Source organism: Homo sapiens, chromosome 20 (genome assembly GCF_000001405.40).
Source record: "Homo sapiens chromosome 20, GRCh38.p14 Primary Assembly".
NCBI classification, from domain to species: domain Eukaryota; kingdom Metazoa; phylum Chordata; class Mammalia; order Primates; family Hominidae; genus Homo; species Homo sapiens.
In genome coordinates, this window is record NC_000020.11 from 23,599,343 (window position 1) to 23,620,230 (window position 20,888).

At 45.5% G+C, this 20,888-nt stretch overlaps 1 protein-coding gene across 1 annotated transcript, besides 1 other annotated feature; it reads right to left on the bottom strand.

The window, feature by feature from the left end:
- Window positions 3,024-3,525: an enhancer, noted in NCBI's record as "H3K4me1 hESC enhancer chr20:23583003-23583504 (GRCh37/hg19 assembly coordinates)". NCBI's record gives its function as "activates a minimal SCP1, AML or CMV promoter by ChIP-STARR-seq in naive H9 embryonic stem cells {active_cell/tissue: H9 hESC(naive)}" and the evidence as "EXISTENCE:reporter gene assay evidence [ECO:0000049][PMID:30033119]".
- CST9 (cystatin 9) lies at window positions 3,068-6,575 on the bottom strand. Its single transcript, NM_001008693.3, has 2 exons — window positions 6,268-6,575; window positions 3,068-4,392 (listed from the first exon to the last, which is right to left on the bottom strand). The coding sequence occupies exons 1-2, from the start codon at window positions 6,520-6,522 to the stop codon at window positions 4,168-4,170; spliced, it is 480 nt and encodes a 159-aa protein (NP_001008693.2). The 5' UTR covers window positions 6,523-6,575; the 3' UTR covers window positions 3,068-4,167.
- Window positions 6,576-20,888: the final 14,313 nt, after the last annotated feature.

Genomic DNA, 20,888 nt, shown 5'->3' on the forward strand with positions numbered 1-20,888 from the left:
AGTGAAAACTAGGGGGTAAGCAACAGTGAATGGCCTGTTTGTTAGTGATGATGGTGGTATTGTTTTTAGGTATTTTGGATTCTTTTCTATTGCACCTTGCAAATGAACAATGTTGCCAAAATTAAAACTTCCCCATGTGAATGCTGTCATCCTAAATTATTCTTAGCAAGGTTAACTTGTTTGTCCAAAAATATAAAGGTTCGTGGTCCCTAATTATCATACATAAAATTAGCCAGTATCCCAGCAAGTGGAGTCCCAGGCTCCTTTCTTTGGAGAAATCAATTTTCAGAAAGTACCTACCTGAGGGCTCTAACTGGTCTCAGTTCTGCTATTTATTGGATTCAATCTGATTCTGAATGGAGACTGGCTAAGGAAATGTGCAAATAAAGTTGGAGAGGTCAAAATGCAAGTTTCTGGAGCTCCTATTTGAAAGGAAACTCACCCCCACTTTCCAATTGCAGCAAGAGAGCACCGTGGCTCAGTTGGTGCCTTTGCTGGGTAGTAGGTTTTCTTAGATGCAGCTGGAGTTTGCCTTAGGATTCCACATCTGACACTAAATTGTTAAAGAAAAACTTTAAACAAAATGAATTCAATAGAGTTTATTTGGGCAAAGAAGAATTCATGAACTGGGCAACACTCAAAACTGGAAAAGATTGAGAAAGTTTTTCTCTAGTAGCATAAACAGCAAGGTTTCCCAGGCTGAACAAGGGAGCAAAGTCAAGAAGTTACCTGATTGGCTTAGCTAGATGTCTACCTTATTTGGGCATGATGTAATGATAGGTGTAATGATGTCAATATTTATCTGCAGGCACTTGTAAACTTCAGAGAGACCAGAATCCCCTGAACGGATGTTAAAACCCAAGTTTTAGCCACCCCACTTCCCAAGACACTGACCAAGTAGGTGTGAGTGGGGCCAGGAAAATTGCATTTCTAACCAGCACACAGGGAATGGTGATGTTCCTGGTCCTAGGTGTTTGCCTTATTTGGGTATCTTGTGATCAGAGGTCCCTAGTTATATAACTAACTGGCTGCCTGTTTGTGGTTGATTGATGCTAGATTTTAATTTGTAAGTCAGCCATGAGAAATGCCTCCAAGTTAAGTTTTGGTTTGCTTATGAAAGAGCTCCAGGTACAAAAGCAACCTCATGATAATGACCTATTACTTGCTTTAATAGAGGACATTGTAATAATGTTTATTAAAAATTCTTAAGAAATTTTAATGAAAATATTGGGCAATAGTTTAATCTCTGAGCACATTGCCTATAAGAAAGCAATAACCATATATACACAGCGATAAATATAAAAGAAGCATTCATCATACCACTTTTCATAATACAAAAAAGTAGAAAAATTTAAACAATTAATTATGGGAACTGACTAAATATAAGCTCCAGCTCTGAGGAGCTGCAGTGCAGAGGGCCAGGCTGTCAGGGCCAGTGCAGCCTCTCTCTTCTCCAGAGGCACCGTCCTGTTGCCTGGGGTCTAGAAACTCTCCTTTTTCTTTACAATCAGGCATAGTGTTCTGACCCCTTCCCCAATTCAGCGTGCAATGAAGAAGCCATTCTCAGCCTCATCCCAATGCCCTTTGAGGTGAGTTACTTCTCACTTGTGGTTTGGTCTGCATGCACCCCGCAATGATGGCTTCTGAACCTGCACCATTCCAAGTGTGGTCTGGGTACCAGGAGCAGGTCCGTCCCAGGAGAGGTGGTGAGACATGCAAATTCCCTGGCCCTGCCCAGACCTAGTGGTTCAGATTCCTGGGGGATAGGGAGAATAAGAACTTAGGTTTAGGGTATTTAGAACTTGCCTTCAGGGTATTCTAGTCCCTTTGAAGTTCACAAGTAACTACAGATAAATGCTGAAGGCATCTTCATGGAGAAGAAACTTAAGTCTTGTCCAGAAAGAGTACTTTATTTAATTTTTAGCTGGAGGATGTGATGGTTTCTTTCTCGAGGCCAGACTGTGGACCATAGGGGTATATCCTGCTGGGAGGCAAATGCAGAAATTCAACCCTGAATTGGGTGCCCTGAGGCTGGGGAGACTGGGACATATACCTGCTCACTTCCAGTGACAGAATGTGACTCTCAGATGTGACCTTTCCCACACCTGCAGGGTGCACCTGCTCTGCTGATGGAGCTCATTTGCACAGATCAACCCCTGAGTGAAGCTGGGGGAGATACAGGTGCCTGGCGTGGGAGCTGGTAGCATGGTGTGTCTCAGGGGCACCAGGGTCCAGAGGAGCTCTTAGCATCAGAGACTGGTAACTATGGCCTGAGGCCCAAGCAGCTCACTGCCTGTTTGTGTAAATAAACACTTATTGGAACACAACCACTCTTACATGTTTGCACATTGGCTATTGCTCCTTTCAAGATACGACAGCAATTCTGAGTAGCTGAGAGAGACCATCTGCCCACAAAGGCCAGAATAGTTACTCTCTGGCTTCTTCAGAAAATTTTTTTGCCAAACCCTGGTTTAGGTGATTTGGGCAATGTCTTGGTAGCATCTAGTCTGCCCGTGCCTCTCACACTGCATCCCCTGGGGGTGTGCATTCCTGCAAATCCTGCATTTTCAGGGGATTTCTGCATCCCTGGGGATTTGTAAGAGCGCAGATGCATTTTCCAAAGGTCAGAGGCCCTGAAGTTGGACATTTCTAAGATTCTTTCAGAAGATGCTGCTGCTCCAGATGCCAGGACAGCTTTATAAGGGTGAGGCTAGAAGTCCTTCCTCTTCCCACCAACCTTCCACGAACCAGGAAAGGTGTGTGAGCCACCCCTTGAGAACAGAGGCCACATGTGCTGAGTGGGACCCAGAGGCCCTGTCTTGCTCAGTTGTGCACATTGGGTGTCCTGCAAGATCACAGACATTTTACCTCTGGCCACATGGGTCATCATCAGCCACGAGCATGGAGACAGCAGCTCAGACTTATCTTGGTTGTGCCACCTGGAAGCTGGCTTATGAGGTCTTAAGGGAGGGAGGACCCCACTGACACAGATGCAAATAGGCTGCCCTTCTGAGAGGAACTCCATCAACTGCTCAGCCCCCTCCCTCCAGAACATGGCACAGGAAGCTTCTGCAAATGCTGATGTTTAATGACCTATTCTACTTGAGGAACCTGGACAGTGAGGATTTTCTAAAATGCCAAGTCATAAAACCTCAGACACTTGCAAAATAAGAGAACAAATATGCACGGAGCTGCTCAGCCACTGATATGTCAACTCCTGGGAACAGCTGGTGTCCACGGGGGAGGGGGCAGCATGTGGCCAGGCATGTGAGTGGCTTCCACTCAGGAGAGCCCCTCTGAGCAGGTCTTGTTCAGGAGTTCAAAATATGTCTTCCAGGGCATGGTTTCAACAGTGAAGAAGCAGCTGAAGGTCCGAGGGAACAAACAGGAAGAGACAGTAGGGCGGGGTTTGGGGAGGTTCGGGAATCTTGTGGCATCTGCCCTCAACACAGGTTCCATCTCCACCTTGCCCATTCCTGGGGCCAGCAATTGTGCCACGTGGCTCTGGCCTTCAGGTCTAGCCTGAGCCTGAGGCCAATCCTGAACTACAACGTGATTTGAGGCTCCCTCCCTCCTTAGCCAGGGTCACTTGTGCCATGCCTCCTCCTCCAGCCCGTGCCCCTCAGGGGAACCCCAGGCTGTCCTGGTGTGATCCCTGCATCCAAGAGCAGCAGGAGAATGTTTTGTCCCAGTGGAAGCAGTTCCCAGACTTAGGCAATTAGTTACCTATTTGTTAATCTTACAATAAGGGGGTTGACTAAGAATGGGAAGTTTTCCCAGAGCCAGGCTTTGCTTGGAGCTCGTCCCCTAGAGCAGGTGCTGCAGCTCAGCAGGGCCTAGGAGCGAGGGCAGTGGGGCTTCTTCTCAGCCTCCACCACTTTTGGGTCTAGGGCAGGGTAGGGAAACCCTGAGAAAAGTACCCACAGACATTGTCACCATTGTCTCCAGGCTCTTTCTCTAGAAGGCAGGGAAGAAGTGGGGAGGAAGACCAGAGAGAAGGTTCTGAAGGCCATGTGGCCCAGGTGCAGGCAGCTGCAATGGTGTCAGAGGGCAGAATCAGGAAACTCAGATTGGCCAGGGGCCTGAAAGTGAACCCCTGGGCTTAATGCCTCACTGGGCTTCCCACTAAGGCACAAGCAGGGCAGCCTGGTACAGCCTGCTGTGGGCTCACTTCCCTTTGTCCCTCGGAATGGCTTTGTCAGCTGCTCCTGTGCCCACACCACACCCCATGCAGCATCCACAGCTGTGGACCTGAGGAAAGCTGATGCCCTGTCTTACGTTGTTCAGCTCCAGGCTTTCTTGAAAAGGGCAGTTGTCAATGTCATCTTCAAATTTCCTACATACGGTTTGGCGCAGTTGCAGATTCATGGAGAACACCATCTTACCTCGCCACTGTTGGACAAAAGAAGATTAAAGTGGATGCACCGTCTTCCTGCCCCTAAGTAGCTACTAGTGAAGATGCCATTTGAGTAGGAGAGGCCCCAACACTTTACTGCATTTGAGAGCTTGCCCATGGGCCTGGCATCAGCTCACTGGAGGTGAAACCCAGGGGATCTTCTCTAGACTGAGGAGTTAAGAGCAAAAAGCAGGTGGGCATGGTGGGTCTGGGGAGGATGCAGGCTGAGTCAGACCCCACTAACACATTATCCACCTCCACCCACCCCCATTTCCCACGGTGAGACTCCAGCTTCACTCTCAGTAGGCATCTGATCTTGCAGCTGCATTCCCAGAGGACAGAGCCACATGTCCGGGAGGGTGTTGGATCTCCAAGAGTTTTCAGGGTAACTTCAGCCCTGGGACAGAGGGAGCCTCATCTACAGTGTGTTGTCAAACCTTCCAAGTGACCTCCAGCAAGAAGAATGACACACAGCGCTCCCACTACACACAGGCACACACCCTGGGAAAATGGGTTCAAGAAATACCATCTGCCCTATTGCAAAGTGCATGCTGAAGTTCTCCTTGCCCTCCTTCCCACTCCATTCTATTTAATTCCACTCCATAGCCTCCCTCTCACCCATCTATTCTTCCCAGCCCCCAAACTGATGCTGGGATTGCCATATCCAGGAAGCCATGTGGAAAGCTTTTAGGACTTACTGTCATTTAGGACTTATAGACCATAGTAAGGAGCTTAGATTTTATTCTAACGGTATTAAGAATGGAGGCTTACACTGAGGTCTTGGAGAATCAAGCAAAGCACTGGGAAAGCAGAAGCATGAGGCCTGGCCAATCTCAATCTCTGAGACTTCCAAGGTTCCAGCATGAATATTAGCAGCCACCATTACTGGACCAGATGCCCCTCTGAGGGTTGCATCAGGCTTTTAATTCTCCTGAGAGGAGGCAGCAAATGAGCAAGGAGGAAAATTCCTCTGTACCAGCATTGGAATCCTGAGGATGGCAGTGAGGAATCCACCCCAGGAGGCAGAGAACCAGCCAGAGCCTTGCACAGAGTCTTTCCAGAGCTTAAGCTCTGTGCGGTACTAGAGTCCCTCTGCCTTTCTTTCAGGCTCTTGGTGCTGAGAAAGGAAGAGCAATGCTCCTTCTCTCTCTAAACCAGAAGTTCTCCACTAGGAGGGCATTTTAATTGTTCATGCCTGAAGCCCAGATGAACTGTGCATTCCTGACCACATTTAATGATTTCATCAAAAAGGCAAGCATTTTAGGATAAAGGTCCATTGAGGAAGAGTGTAAATTGGCCTTCAGTTCATTAAGTGCAGACAGAGCAAGGAGCCCAGAGAAGGTGGAGATCAGAGAACTAACCTTTCACGGTGGCCTCTCAGGGCTGATGGTGTTCTTTATTGCCCTCGAATTCTCACTGTTCTCTCTCTGTCTGCCTGTCTCTCTCTCTCTCTGTCTCTCTCTCTCTGTCTGTCTGTCTCTCTCTGTCTCTCTCTCTCTCTCCCTCTGTGTGTCCTTGCTTTTCCATTTTCATTTTATGACCTGGAAATGTTTATCAGTCTCTTTGGTTATTTTCTCTTCTTGTCAGCTTCATCTCCTTAGAAGTCCTTATTTTGAAGTCACTCTTCAGTTATACAATGTCTTAAAAATCATGAAGATTGAAAAATATATTTTGCATGTGAATAGACATTTACCTAATTTAAAAAAAATTTTAAGTTCAATGTTTTCCAAAACTAAAACTACCGTAATTGGTTGTGGACTACCTGACTATGGACTGCTGATGGTGAACCAAGTCTCCTAGACTAGACATCTTGGTCCCTCACTTAGGGGCAGATGGAGAAGGACAGGCCAGAAGAGGATGTGGTCACCAACCTTTCTGTCCATGCTATCCTCCCTCCATGAACTCAGGACGCGCAACAGCCTGTAGGCATGCTCCTCCTTGCTCTGCACGTTGAAAGTGTTCAAGGCAAACTCCACTGTGGCGAGGAACATAGGATCCTGGACTATTTTATTATTACCACCCATTTCCTCTTCAGAACACCAGGCATAAGTCACCAGGAGCTGGAAGCCCATGAGAAGCAGTGACAGTGCCCAGGGCATAGCCTTCCTCCTCTGCGGACTCGACATGATGCAGGCTCCAGCAGCCCTTGCCTTTGCCCTTCAGATCCCTGGCGTCCACTGGAGCCTTCCAGGGCTCAGGTCTGGCCTTTAAATTCACCTGCTGGGGCAGAAACTCCTCCCTCCAGGCCTCACCTCTGCAGTTACACCCTGTCTCTCCCACACATGGCCTCCCTTCTTCCAAAGGCGTTTAAATCATCTCCTGTTTAGGGGAGAGGAACAGCACCCAGGCAGGTGGGTTGGAAAAGACTAGCAATGGGAGAGATAGTGCCCTGAACATGAGGCCCAGCCCCAGCTGCCCCAGCACCTCCGCAGGCTAAAGGAGACCTCTACTGGGCGCCCCAGAGTCAGAGCCCGGCACAGGAACACAAGTGTGAGAGGTATGAGTGGAAGGTGAGCCCTGGACTCAGCAGTGGGGGTGGGCTGGGAGGGGGAGGTTAGGTGGAAAGGCAGAGACAAAAGGATGGAAAGGGATGACAGTGGATGCTAGTATCATGGGTGAGCAGGTACAGCGCCCCGAGAAAGCACTGGGCCTCTTGAGAGAGAGGCGGGGAGCCCGGGAGGATTGGCGGGATGTCCTGCAGGTGTCTGCTCCCCCGAGGGTCTCGGGAGGGGGGCACCAGCCTGGGGGTCGTGGGCAGAGGTTGAGGAAATCAAGAGCAGGAGCCCCCAACCCTGTTCTCTGCACCTCCCTAAATGCAGCTTCCCAGCCCAGGGACGCGCTGCCAAGTGCTGGTACTAGGGGCCTGGCTAGTTATGGCTGCCCCTATTCCTCAAAGGTGTTTCCAGGACGGGTGGCCGCTTGCAATTGGAGCAGTGGAGAACCAGAAAGACGAAGATGCCCTCAGGGATGGCTGAAGTGCACCCATTAGGTTGTCACGGGTTCCCTCCTGTGGCCACAGCCGGCACAGCACTCTGCGGCACAGTTTGTGGGTGGAGATTCTGAGTTCTCGACCAAGACCCACATAGCCTCCAACTCCAACCGCAAATGGGGCTCTCAAAAGACTGAATAATGCACTCTTCACAGACCAGACTTAAGCTTTGTCCCTGTGAAATATGCCTTTGATGTTTATCCGTAGCTCCTTGTAAACTTCAGAAGCAACCAGCATCCCCTGATGTCACGTTAAAAAGCAAGTTCCTAGTTTCCCCACCCAAAGATTCTGACCCAGTAGCTGTGAGCAGGGCCAGGGAAACTACATTTCTCACCAGCTTCCAGAGGATGGTTGTGTTCCCGGTCTCAGAACCATACTTTGAGTGGTGCAGGTTCAGAATACTTCCTGGGAAGTGCATACAGACCAAACCACATATGAGAAGTAACTCAGCTTGAGGGGCATGGAGGTCAGGGGATGAGAATGGCTTTTGTGGGGCACACAGGATGGGGGACAGGCTTAGACAGCATGCCTGGTGATAAAGAATAAGAGTTTGTTTCTAGACCCTGTTTGCAAAGAAAAAGCAACTCAATGTGACAATTCCAGGAAAGCAGCCAGATGTGCCAAAAACATCACCCAAGGAGTCTGTATCCTTTCTCTGATGGCGTTGAGTTCACTGGAACTGCAGCTGAAGCGTAACTAATGTGGTTTCTTAGCTGGAGAGTGATGGTGCACGTAGGGGTAGGAAGGGGGTGTCAGTGAGGGCGGAAATGCCTTTGTGGGTTTTGGGATGAGCAGGCCATAAGGTGCTGTGAGAACTAGAATCCTGATGCCTGGAATAGGTTGCGAGTGTCCTGAGAGAGGCCTGCAATGCCCATGGAGGTCACTCTCACCTTGTAAGTTCAGCGGCTGACAAACTTGGGGCATCCTGCCAATTGCCAGTGGCTCCCCCACCATTCTGAGGGCCGATACCCACATGTGCTCCAAGGGAGTGCCCACACTCACTCTTACATGAGCAGTGGTTTAGGGTCCTGGGCACCAGCTCTGTCCTCACTGTGCAGCCAAGGAGGGGACAGGGATCCCCACACCCAGATGTGAGACCACGGGTGTACAGACACCATGGACCCTTACAAGTGTGTCTATTTTCTTGTTGAATCCCCAGTGGCCTGGGATGGCCTCACTTCCCAGGTGGAGAGAGACGGGAATATCAAGACATAGCCAGGTAAAGAGAAATACATGTGGGCTCCAGGCTGAGGAGCCCCGAAGACGTGGGTCAACATGTTGCCGAGGCCAGAGTGAAACCGGACGGCCCGGAGGGGCTGGCTGGCCAGCCCACAGGCACAGCTCACAGCTCTCTGCAGGGCTATCCCCAGGTCTCAGGTCTGGGAGGCTTTCTCTCCTGAGTCCCCTTGCAAGAGTTCTGTCTCACTCAGCTTCTTCCTGGGCACTCGTTGGCCTGTCTGTCTCTGGGGCCACCGGGACTTGTCTGGTGCTCTCTTTGTGTTGCTGGCACTGGCACCGAACACCCATGTGGTCTCATAGGAAGGTCCCAGTAACTCCTCACTGAAATGGACCTGCTTTTCCAGAAACGAGGCCCTGTATTTCTGAACGCATTCCTTTGAATGATTAGAGAATGCTGGCAACGACCAGGACCAAGCCACTGGCCCTTTTCTGTGAAGCTGAACATGAGGCGGTGGACGAGGGGAAGCCCAGTGACTCTTCGGGACACAGGACGCTCTCCCCAGCTCCCGCAGACCCTCCAGCTGAGTGCTCTCCCCGGGGTCGGACTCATGTCCCTCACTGCCCGGCCTACTCAGCCACATGCTCTAAAGGTCCCGTGCGACCTTGCTCACTGCCTGTTTCAAGCTGGGCCAGGCTCAGCGGGGCCTGCCAGTTTCAGGATCGCCTGCTGGGCTTTGGGATCACTTCCTCGGGACCCTCCCCATTCCCCCTGCTTGGCATTTCCCTAGGAGACTCCCCAGACAAGCCAGCATTCCCAGGGGTTTCCGTGTGCTGGAAAACAAGGTGGTGTCCAGGAGATCAAAGGAAGACAGCAGGGGCAGGGAGAAGCCCGGACTCAGAGCAGAGTGAGTGATCCAGTGATTGCTGTCATAGCAATCATCAAAGGGGCAGCTCGGGGCAGGGGGGTGAGCGGGGCTGGGTGGGGGTGCTGCCAGGGAATTCCAGAGCCCCCTCCACTCCTCCCTCCCCTCCTCCAGGTTTTCCACCTGGGGGGTTCTTCTTAGCTCAGTCTTCAGCTGACTTTGAGTTTTTATAATTTAAGGAATTAATCTCATATAGACTTATGGCAAATTTAAACTGAGAAAGAGGAATAATGATTGAATTAAAAAATGACAAAAGGAGAAATAAAAATACAAACATTACCGGTAAATATAGAGGCCTAAATCAGGGGTCATTCGTACCACATGCAAATCGGAAGGCCCATGGGCTGTTTCTTCTCCTTCCTGTGGGTCCAGCAGGTCCCTCACCCTGGCTAAGTCGGGGGTGCTGCCCTGGGCCCAGGAGCTTTGCTCTGAAGAGGAAGTGCTGCCCCAGTCACCCTCAGCAGCCCTCCTGTTTGCTGGCCTTTGCCGAACACACCTGCCTTCGCTCCTCAGTGGGCGTTTCCTCAGCTTCTGCTGTGCTCCCGACGGAAGCCTCTCCCATCCAACGCAGCCCATTGTTTTCTTTCATAAGTACTTTAGTTTTTAAAAAACTGTAAGTTAATTTAAATTTAAAACAGTACAAAAATGTCATAATACCACTTCTTTTTTATTTTTAAAATTTTCTGTAGAGATGGAGTCTCACTATGTTGCCCAAGATGTTCTCGAACTCCTGGCCTCAAGTGATCCTCATGCCTCAGCCTACAATTCCACTTTTACTAAGTGAAATGTAGGTTTCAACATAATAGAAACTCCAAATACCAGTGGCTTAAACAAGCTGGTGTTGCTTTCTCTCTCAGGATGCTGACAATGCTAGAATTCTTTCATAAGCCTCACTCCTGCTGGGCACTGCCTTAGGCGCTCATTGACTCCTTTAAGCCTCACATAGTAACAGTTCAGCCAAAAATGGTATATATCATTACGTTTTACGTTTTTAACATTTTGCATAAATAATGACTGTATGTCTTACCACTTTATGCCTTTACTGAAATCATATTTGTGAGCATCACCTGTGTTGACACTTGTCGCTCTAGCTCCTTCATTACCACTGTTTTGCTTTATTCACTGGGACCTTGACCTGAATGACTGTAGTTAATTAAGTCCTTCCTGATTTAATTGGGAATGGTGAAATAGGGTGGAGCTTATAGGGTCAGGTGCTTGTGATGAAAACTAACAGACAGTGGTTTATTAAAGCATTCTCTACTGACTTGATTTTACACTGGGTTGATTCCACTCATTTCCTCTTAAATTGGGGTTGCAACGGGCACTTTTGTCCTGGTTTTCATGTGCACAAGTATGACAGCTTCTCTAGGGTCAGCACCAGAAAGAAAATTGCAGACATATGAGATCACCTCCTTTCAGTTTTATTAGGGATAGCTGTGCTGATGATTTTCTTTTCTTTATTCTTTTTTGAGACGGAGGTCTCACTATGTTGCTTAGGCTGGTCTTGAACTCCTGGGCTCAAGTGATCCTCTCTCCTTGGCCTCCCAAAGTACGAGGATTACAGGCATGAGCCACCACGTGCAACCTGATTTCTTTCACCATATAGATTTTTCTTAAAAATTGAAGACGGTTTAATGTATCAATGTTTTGTTTAGGGTATGTGCTTTTGTAATTTTCATTTCAACAATCCTTTCCTATGCTCTTCTATGTTCTGTTTCACCATGTTCTTTCTTTTGCTTTTCACATTTATGTGTGCGATCCAACTGGAGGCTAAGTGTGTGTGGTGTGAGGTTGGAATCCCAGGATCGATCGTCTGCCCCACCACCTGCGTGCACAGCTGGCTTTTCCAGCATTGACGATGGAGCAGTTCATTCTCCACCCTCTGATTCCAACAGCATTTCTATCGTAGTCCCCTTTCCCCAAAAGGCTGGTTGCCTTTGAGCCTCTTTTCTATTGTACTGGCTGTATGAAGGAGGCACAGGCCTGAGCTAAGAAGGTCATTGTTTGATCTTGGCCAGGAAAGGAAGAAAAATTCTTGGGCACTTCCCAGACCTAGGCACACTTCCTGGGCCCTACCTGCTAGAATAGATGGGTCTGCTCCCTGGTTCTAGCCCCTGACTCCCTGCCACACCCTCCCATCATCGGGCTGCTGCTTTGCACTAACATCCTCTCTTTGGGGCATATAGTCTGATTTTGGATCCCAGCTTTTCGGAAAAGCTTCATGTATTGGCCATGATTATTGATGCTACTGTTATCGTCACAAGCACCTCACCCTGCAAGCTCACCGTGCCCTTCCTTCATTCTTTGGAAACATGAGATTTGTTCTTGCGGGCAGCTTGTCTTCCTGGGAAGTTGAAATTACCTTTTTGATGCAGACAAGCACTTGTCCTGAAGAGTAACGGGAGGAACCAGGTGTCTATCACTGAGAGGCGGGAGTGCAGAACTGGAGACAGGATAAGTGGGGCAATCTTGACTGATTGCAAGGAAATAGTACTGTTATTGGCTCCATTTGTAGAGGCTGGAGTCTTTAGATGACTTGTATGGTTTATAGACTCCACGGAAGGAGGCAAAGCAGTAGTTGAGGAGGTCTTTGGAGTTGGGCACATGTGAGTTCAGGTCTCATTTGCACCTTTTACTAGTTGCATTTCCTGGGGGCACATTTCTACTTTATGTGAGCTTCTGTTTCCACAACCGTGCAATTGGACTCTTGTGATTTCTCCTTCATGGAGCTGTCATGAAGATGAATGGGGAGATGTATGGAAGGCACTGGCAGGAGGCCCAGCAGGACCAGGCCCTCAGGAGATGGTGTTTGTGCTGCTCATTCTCATCACCAGTTCTGGGGGGAACATCCCTCATGAGCCAGGCTTGTTGATGACAACCTTCTCAGCAGTCAAGTGGCAGAGGAGATGAGGAGGGACCCAAATGTCCAAGCTCCCACCAGGGGTAGGCAGGCAAAAAGGAGGAGCAGAGGATTCTATGGCTTGTCAGCAATTACCAGGTTCTCTGGGACAGTGTAGACAGGGCATGGAAATGGGATTGCATTTTACTGTTTGGCTTTGAGTTTAGACTTTTGGTCCAAGTCAGGTTGGGATCAGAACTCAAGAGAGTATCTTCTGGATAATTAAATATAATGATTATCTCTTCGAAAGGCTCTGACAACCAAACTCACGTTCCCAAGCTTCATTTTAAAGTGTTGAGATGCTTGGGCTCACGTCCTTGTGTTCTGCCTTGTAGCTGGGAAACCTGGTGCACCTCAGTATTCCTAAGCCCCCTTTCCTCACCTATGGTTTTGGATCAAGTTTAGCTGAGAGATCATATACAGTGACACTGTGTGACCCCTTACAGTATGATTTGACCGTTTGCTGTTAGAAGACCCACTATCCCCCATCCTCATTCTGAAGTCAAAACAGCATCCGGGCTCCTCTTCTTCTCTATTGGGAGCAAGTTTTATTTTAAAATAAAATCAGGGATAAGTGCCAAATGTAATCATCAGCTGAGACCCTCAAAACCTTTTGTTCCAACCACTCTAATTTCTGTCACAATGGCCCCTTGTCACTGTGAGCCTTTCTGTAGAGGGTATTTGGGGCTGTCTTGCCTCTGACCACTTCATGCACACTGATCACAGTGTTCTCAATACTTTTCATTTTGACACTTTTGGGCAAAGTTTACCTCTACTTCTTTGAAAACATTCTCTTTAGACTTGGCCAATTTGACAAACGTGTTCTTTCTGCCTTCTTTAGTGGTTGTCCAGGCATGGACAACGGCTGCTTTCTCCTGGAACTGATTCCATTCAGAGTCCTTTTGGCTTTCTTGCAATAGTTTTCCTTTGATTCAGCCAAATTTTCCACTTCTTCAATAAGTGTTATTTAGAGATCAACCTCAAATCTCCAACACTGGCACTTATTTTGAAACCTTAAGCAGTAAATCCATGCCAGAGATAATACTTCCTTTTGGGGGACAAAAACCGATTCAGTCTATTTTCCACCTTCTTTACTTTTCCAGACACATCAGTGATTCTTGACACGTTAATATCTTCCTTAAGCCTCACCACAATCCATGTGATTTTAGGCTAAGGGATTAGATTTGGGATCTATTTCTCCAACATCCATATATAGTGGTTCAAGATAAAAGATAACCTATATCAATATTTAAATCTAAATGCCAAATATTGGAGGTGGGGTTGTACCCGGATAGGTCGATTGCCATCTTTCACATCAGAGGCCAGACACATATTCTTTGAAATAGGCAAATGCAGTTATTGTTGGGTAGGCCTACGGTCTAGAGAAGTTGTGAGGTAAGATGCCAGGAGAACTGGAACATAGCAACCTGCTCTTTAGGACTGAAACAGAAGCTCCGAGCAGACGGACACTTGGATTTTTGTCTTAAGCTCATCTGCAATTTCTATCATGTGCAGACAGTACTTTGATAATAATAAAATAATGTTTTTATTTTTTTTTTAGCTTTTTTTGCATCCTCTTGAATTCAGAGTCTTTCAGGCCCAAAAGGGTGATGTGGGTTGGGGGCCAGGGGTAAGAGGATTGGGTGAGGTGAGAGGACTTGCTCCTTAGGGGGTGCTCCACCATGGACACTCAGATGAGAAGCAGGTGGGAGGAGAGGAAAGCTCCTAGAAAATCCAGTGGGTCATGTGGGAAGTAATTTGTGGCACTTGTTTTTAGGTTTACCGGATTAAATGGTCTAAGATAATCATGGGGGATACTTCATCCACTGCCACACATTTCAAGAGCTTAAGGCTAGAGTCTTTGAAGTCAAATTCTAGGCTGCAGAATGTGCCTGCAGGGCTCCCCAGCCTGTACCCCATCTCTGCGTTCCCCACTCTGTTTCAGGATATTTTTCTACAGGGCTTTCACATTCTCATGAGATTGCAAGATTGCTTCAGAAAAACTGAATTCACAGCAATGCTTACTCACCCTGGTTTGCATACACACACACACATGCACACACACACACACACCCCAAAAAACAAAACATAAACAACAAAGACTCCTTGGAGGAACTTTAGAGCACTAAACTCAGCCCTGGGTCAAGTGGGCTCTGCCCCAGAGCCTTTTGTATTTTACTTTGTCCTTAGAAGGGTATCAGAGTCCTGGAAGTGTGGCTGGCCTCCATGTTGGCTTGGGTCCTGGAAGAGACAGACAAAGGCTATTTGGCAACAGAGAGACCATAGAGCCCTAGAGGATTCAAGCTTAAATCCTCCAACTACAGATTATAAATTATTAATACTTCCAGTGGACTTGTTTGTCTTTCCTTGCCAGAACCAACAATTCTCAAATCTGACTGCCCATCTAAGCCACTTGGGGAGCTTAATCTATAGATGTTTATATGAATTCTGAAGCCTTACCTCATGGACTCAGTGTCTGCAGTGAGGCCTGGGAACCGGATCTTTAACAGCCATGGCACCTTCTGCAGGCTGGCCTTCGGTAACCACTGAGTGGTTGATCCAAAGGTCTTTCTGAGCTCTCCTGGCCCAGGATCCTCTGATTCAGTGAATGCATCCCTAGCAAAGGCAACACAGAGCAGGGCTTCAGTCACTTACTGCATTCACACCTGCCCATCAGCGCATTCTGCCTGCACCTTGCCTCTCCCAAGCTCTGGTTGCTTCTGAGAACTGAAAGCGCTTCTCTCACTGGAAGAGCCCAGCACTGGTCCTGGCTCTCACTGGGACTCCTTTGGATCCTAGATCAGCGGGACCCTGCAGGAAGACAGTGGGGTCTATTGCCTGGGGGGTAAATCTGTGCTGCAAACCCTGATGGTTTCCACTAGAAGGCCCTGCCTGTTCGAATGTTGGTAATGGGTAATGACCTTGCCCTTCAGGAAATTCTTTCTGGCATAAAATGAGACTTCTGTGCCTGTGACTACTGAAAAGGATGTGACAGATGCAAGAAATACTCTGAGGGAAAAAGTAATTTAACCTAATGTAAAGGGTTTTTCGGTGGTAAAATGTACATAATAAAAAACTTACCATTTTAACCATTTTAAAGTTTATACTTCAGTGGCATTAAGTACATTCACATTGTTGAGCCGCCATCACCAGCATCCATCTAGAGCATTTTCATCTTCCCAAACTGAAGCTCTGTCCCATTAAACAATAAGTACCATTATCCTTACCCCCAGCCCCTGTAAACCACGATTCTACTTTTTGTCACTATAAATTTGACTATTCGAGTTACCTCATATGTATGAAATCAGACAGTATTTATTTTTTTGTGACTGGCATATTTCACTTAGCATAATGTCTTCAAGGTCCATTCATGTTGCAGCAAATGTCAGGATTTCCTTCCTTTATAAGGCTAAATAATATTCTGTTGTATGTGTATAGTACATTCTGTAAATCCACTCATCATCCGTCAATAAACGCTTGAGTTGGTTCCACCTTTTGGCTATGGACATGGATGTGCAAATATTATGTTTGAGTCCCTGCTTTCGCTTCTTTTGGGTATATATCCAGAAGTAGAATTTGAATCAAACAGTAATTCTATTTTTATTTTTATTTTTGTTATACTTTAAGTTCTAGGGCATATGTGCACAACGTGCAAGTTTGTTACATAGGTTACATAGGTATACATGTGCCATGTTGGTTTGCTGATGGGTTTTTGGATCCCATCAATTCGACATTTACATTAGGTATTTCTCCTAATGCTATCCCTCCCCCAGTCCCCCACCCCCTGACAGACCCTGGTGTGTAATGTTCCCCACCCTATGTCCATGTGTTCCCATTGTTCAATTCCCACCTATGAGTAAGAACATACGGTGTTTGCTTTTCTGTCTTTGTGATAGTTTGCTGAGAATGATGGTTTCCAGTTTCATCCATGTCCCTACAAAGGACCTGAACTCATCCATTTTTATGGCTGCATAGTATTCCATGGTGTATATGTGACACATTTTTTAAATCAGTCTATCATTGGTGGACCTTTGGGTTGGTTCCAAGTCTTTCTATTGTGAATAGTGCCACAATTAACATACGTGTGCATGTGTCTTTATAAGTAGCATGATTTATAATCCTTTGGGTATATACCCAGTAATGGGATCGCTGGGTCAAATGGTATTTCTAGTTCTAGATCCTTGAAGAATCACCGCACTGTCTTCCACAATTGTTGAACTAATTTACACCCCCACCAACAAAGTAAAAGCGTTCCTATTTCTCCACATCCTCTCCAGCATCTGTTGTTTCCTGACCTTTTCATGATCACCATTCTAACTGGTGTGAGATAGTATCTCATTGTGGTTTTGATTTGCAATTCTCTGATGACCAGTGATGATGAGCATTTTTCCATGTGTCTGTTGGATGCATAAATGTCTTCTTTTGAGAAGTGTCTGTTCATATCCTTTGCCCACTTGTTGATGGGGTTCTTTGTTTTTTTGCTTGTAAATTTGTTTAAGTTCTTTGCAGATTCTGGACTTTAGCCATTTGTCAGATGGGTAGATTGCAAAAATTTTCTCCCATTCTGTAGGTTGCCTGTTCACTCTGATGATAGTTTCTTTTGCTGTGCAGAAGCTCTTTAGTTTAATTAGATCCCATTTGTCTATTTTGGCTTTTGTTGCCATTGCTTTTGGTGTTTTAGTCATGAAGTCTTTTCCCATGCCTAAGTCCTGAATGGTATTGCCTAGGTTTTCTTCTAGGGCTTTTATGGTTTTAGGTCTAACATTTAAGTCTTTAATCCATCTTGAGTTAATTTTTGTATAAGGTATAAGGAAGGGATCCAGTTTCAGCTTTCTATATATGGCTAGCCAGTTTTCCCAGCACCATTTATTAAATAGGGAATCCTTTCCCCATTGCTTGTTTTTGTCAGGTTTGTCAAAGATCAGATGGTTGTAGATGTGTGGTGTTATTTCTGAGGCCTCTATTCTGTTCCCCTGGTCTATATGTTTTGGTATCAGTACCATGCTGTTTAGGTTACTGTAGCCTTGTAGTATAGTTTGACATCAGGTAACACAATGCTTCCAGCTTTGATGTTTTTGCTTAGGATTGTCTTGGCAATGCAGGCTCTTTTTTGGTTCCATATAAACTTTAAAGTGGTTTTTTCCAATTCTGTGAAGAAAGTCATTGGTAGCTTGATGGGGATGGCATTGAATCTATAAATTACCTTGGGCAGTAAGGCCATTTTCACGATATTGATTCTTCCTACCCATGAGCATGGAATGTTCTTCCATTTGTTTGTATCCTCTTTTATTTCCTTGAACAGTGGTTTGTAGTTCTCCTTGAAGAGGTCCTTCATGTCCCTTGTAAGTTGGATTCCTAGATATTTTATTCTCTTTTTAGCAATTGTGAATGGTATTTCACTCATGACTTGGCTCTCTGTTTGTCTGTTATTGGTATATGGGAATGCTTGTGATTTTTGCACATTGATTTTTGTTTCCTGAGACTTTGCAGAAGTTGCTCATCAGCTTTCGGGCTGAGATGATGGGGTTTTCTAAATGTAAAATCATGTCATCTGCAAACAGGGACAATTTGACTTCCTCATTTCCTAATTGAATACCCTTTATTTCTTTCTCTTGCCTGATTGCCCTGGCCAGAACTTCCAACACTATGTTGAATAGGAGTGGTGAGAGAGGGCATCCTTGCCTTGTGTCGGTTTTCAAAAGGAATGCTTCCAGTGTTTGCCCATTGATTATGATATTGGCCGTGGGTTTGTCATAAATAGCTCTTATTATTTTGAGATAGATTCCATCAATACCTAGTTTATTGAGAGTTTTTAGCATGAAGTGCTGTTGAATTTTGTTGAAGGCCTTTTCTGCATCTATTGAGATAATCATGTGGTTTTTGTCATTAGTTCTGTTTATGTGATGTATTACGTTTATTGATTTGCATATGTTGAACCAGCCTTGCATCCCGTGGATGAAGCCAACTTGATCTTGGTGGATAAGCTTTTGGATGTGCTGCTGGATTCAGTTTGCCAGTATTTTCTTGAGGATTTTTGCATCGATGTTCAACAGGGATATTGGTCTAAAATTATCTTTTTTTGTTGTGTCTCTGCCAGGCTTTGGTATCAGGATGATGCTGGCTTCATAAAATGAGTTAGGGAGGATTCCCTCTTTTTCTATTGATAGGAATAGTTTCAGAAGGAATGGTACCAGCTCCTCTTTGTACCTCTGGTAGAACTCAGCTGTGAATCCATCTGGTTCTGAACTTTTCTGGTTGGTAGGCTATTAATTATTGCCTCAATTTCAGAACCTGTTATTAGTCTATTCAGAGATTCAACTTCCTCCTGGTTTAGACTTGGGAGGGTGTATGTGTCCAGGAATTTATCCATTTATTCTAGATTTTCTAGTTTATTTGCATAGAGGTGTTTATAGTATTTTCTGATGGTAGTTTGTATTTCCATGGGATCGGTGGTGATATCCCCTTTACCATTTTTTATAACATCTATTTGATTCTTCTCTCTTTTTTTCTTTATTAGCCTTGCTAGCAGTCTATCAATTTTGTTGATATTAAAAAAAACAGCTCCTGGATTCACTGATTTTTTGAAGGGATTTTTGTGTCTCTATCTCCTTCATTTCTCCTCTGATCTCAGTTATTTCTTGCCTTCTGCTAGCTTTTGAATTTGTTTGCTCTTGCTTTTCTAGTTCTTTTACTTGTGATGTTAGGGTGTCATTTTTAGATCTTTCCTGCTTTCTCTTGTGAGCATTTAGTGCTATAAATTTCCCTCTACACACGCTTTAAATATGTCCCAGAGATTCTGGCACGTTGTGTCTTTGTTCTCATTGGTTTCAAAGAACATCTTTATTTCTGCCTTCATTTCATTATTTACTCAGTAGTCATTCAGGAGCACGTTGTTCAGTTTCCATGTAGTTGTGTGGTTTTGAGTGAGTTTCTTAATCCTGAGTTCTAATTTGATTGCACTGTGGTGTGAGAGACAGTTTGTTGTGATTTCCGTTCTTTTACATTTGCTGAGGAGTGCTTTACTCCCAACTATATGGTCAATTTTTGAATAAGTGTGATGTGGTGCTGAGAAGAATGTATATTCTGTTGATTTGGGGTGGAGAGTTCTGTAGATGTCTATTAGGTCTGCTTGGTGCAGAGCTGAGTTCAAGTCCTGGATATCCTTGTTAACATTCTGTCTCATTGATCTGTCTTATATTGACAGTGGGGTGTTAAAGTCTCCCATTATTATTGTGTGGGAGTCTAAGTCTCTTTGTAGGTCTCTAAGGACTTGCTTTATGAATCTGGGTGCTCCTGTATTGGGTGCATATATATTTAGGATAGTTAACTCTTTTTGTTGAATTGATCCTTTTACCATTATGTAATGGCCTTCTTTGTCTCTTTTGATCTTTGTGGGTTCAAAGTCTGTTTTATCAGAGACTAGGATTGCAACTCCTGCTTTTTTTTTTTTTGCTTTCCCTTTGCTTGGTAGATCTTCCTTCACGCCTTTATTTTGAGCCTATGTGTGTCTCTGCATGTGAGATGGGTCTCCTGAATACAGCACATTAGTGGGTCTTGACTCTTGATCCAATTTGCCAGTCTGTGTCTTTTTATTGGGGCATTTAGCCCATTTACATTTAAGATTAATATTGTTATGTGTGAATTTGATCCATTATGATGTTAGCTGGTTATTTTGCATGTTAATTGATGCAGTTTCTTCCTAGCCTTGATGGTCTTTACAATTTGGCATGTTTTTGCAGTGTCTGGTACCAGTTGTTCCTTTCCATGTTTTGTGCTTCCTTCAGGAGCTCTTGTAAGGCAGGCCTGGTGGTGACAAAATCTCTCAGCATTTGCTTGTCTATAAAGGATTTTATTTGTCCTTCACTTATGAAGCTTAGTTTGGCTGGATATGAAATTCTGGGTTGAAAATTCTTTTATTTAAGAATGTTGAATATTGGCTCCCACTTTCTTCTGGCTTGTAGGGTTTCTGCTGAGAGGTCCACTGTTAGTCTGATGGGCTTCCCTTTGTGGGTAACCCAACCTTTCTCTCTGGCTGCCCTTAACATTTTTTCCTTCATTTCAACCTTGGTGAATCTGACAATTGGGTTGCTCTTCTCGAGGAGTATCTTTGTGGTGTTCTCTGTATTTCCTGAGTTTGAATGTTGGTCTGCCTTTCTAGGTTGGGGAAGCTCTCCTGTATAATATGCTGAAGAGTGTTTTCTAAGTTGGTTCCATTCTCCCCATCACTTTCAGGTACACCAATCAAATGTAGATTTGGTCTTTTCACATAGTCCCATATTTCTTGGAGGTTTTGTTCATTTCTTTTCACTCTTTTTTCTCTAATCTTGTCTTCTCATTTTATTTTATTAATTTGACTTTCAATCACTGATATCCTTTCTTCCACTTAATCGAATCAGCTATTGAAGCTTTTGCATGTGTCATGAAATTCTCGTGCTGTGGTTTTCAGCTCCATCAGGTCATTTAAGGTCTTCTCTGCACTGTTTATTCTAGTTAGCCATTTGT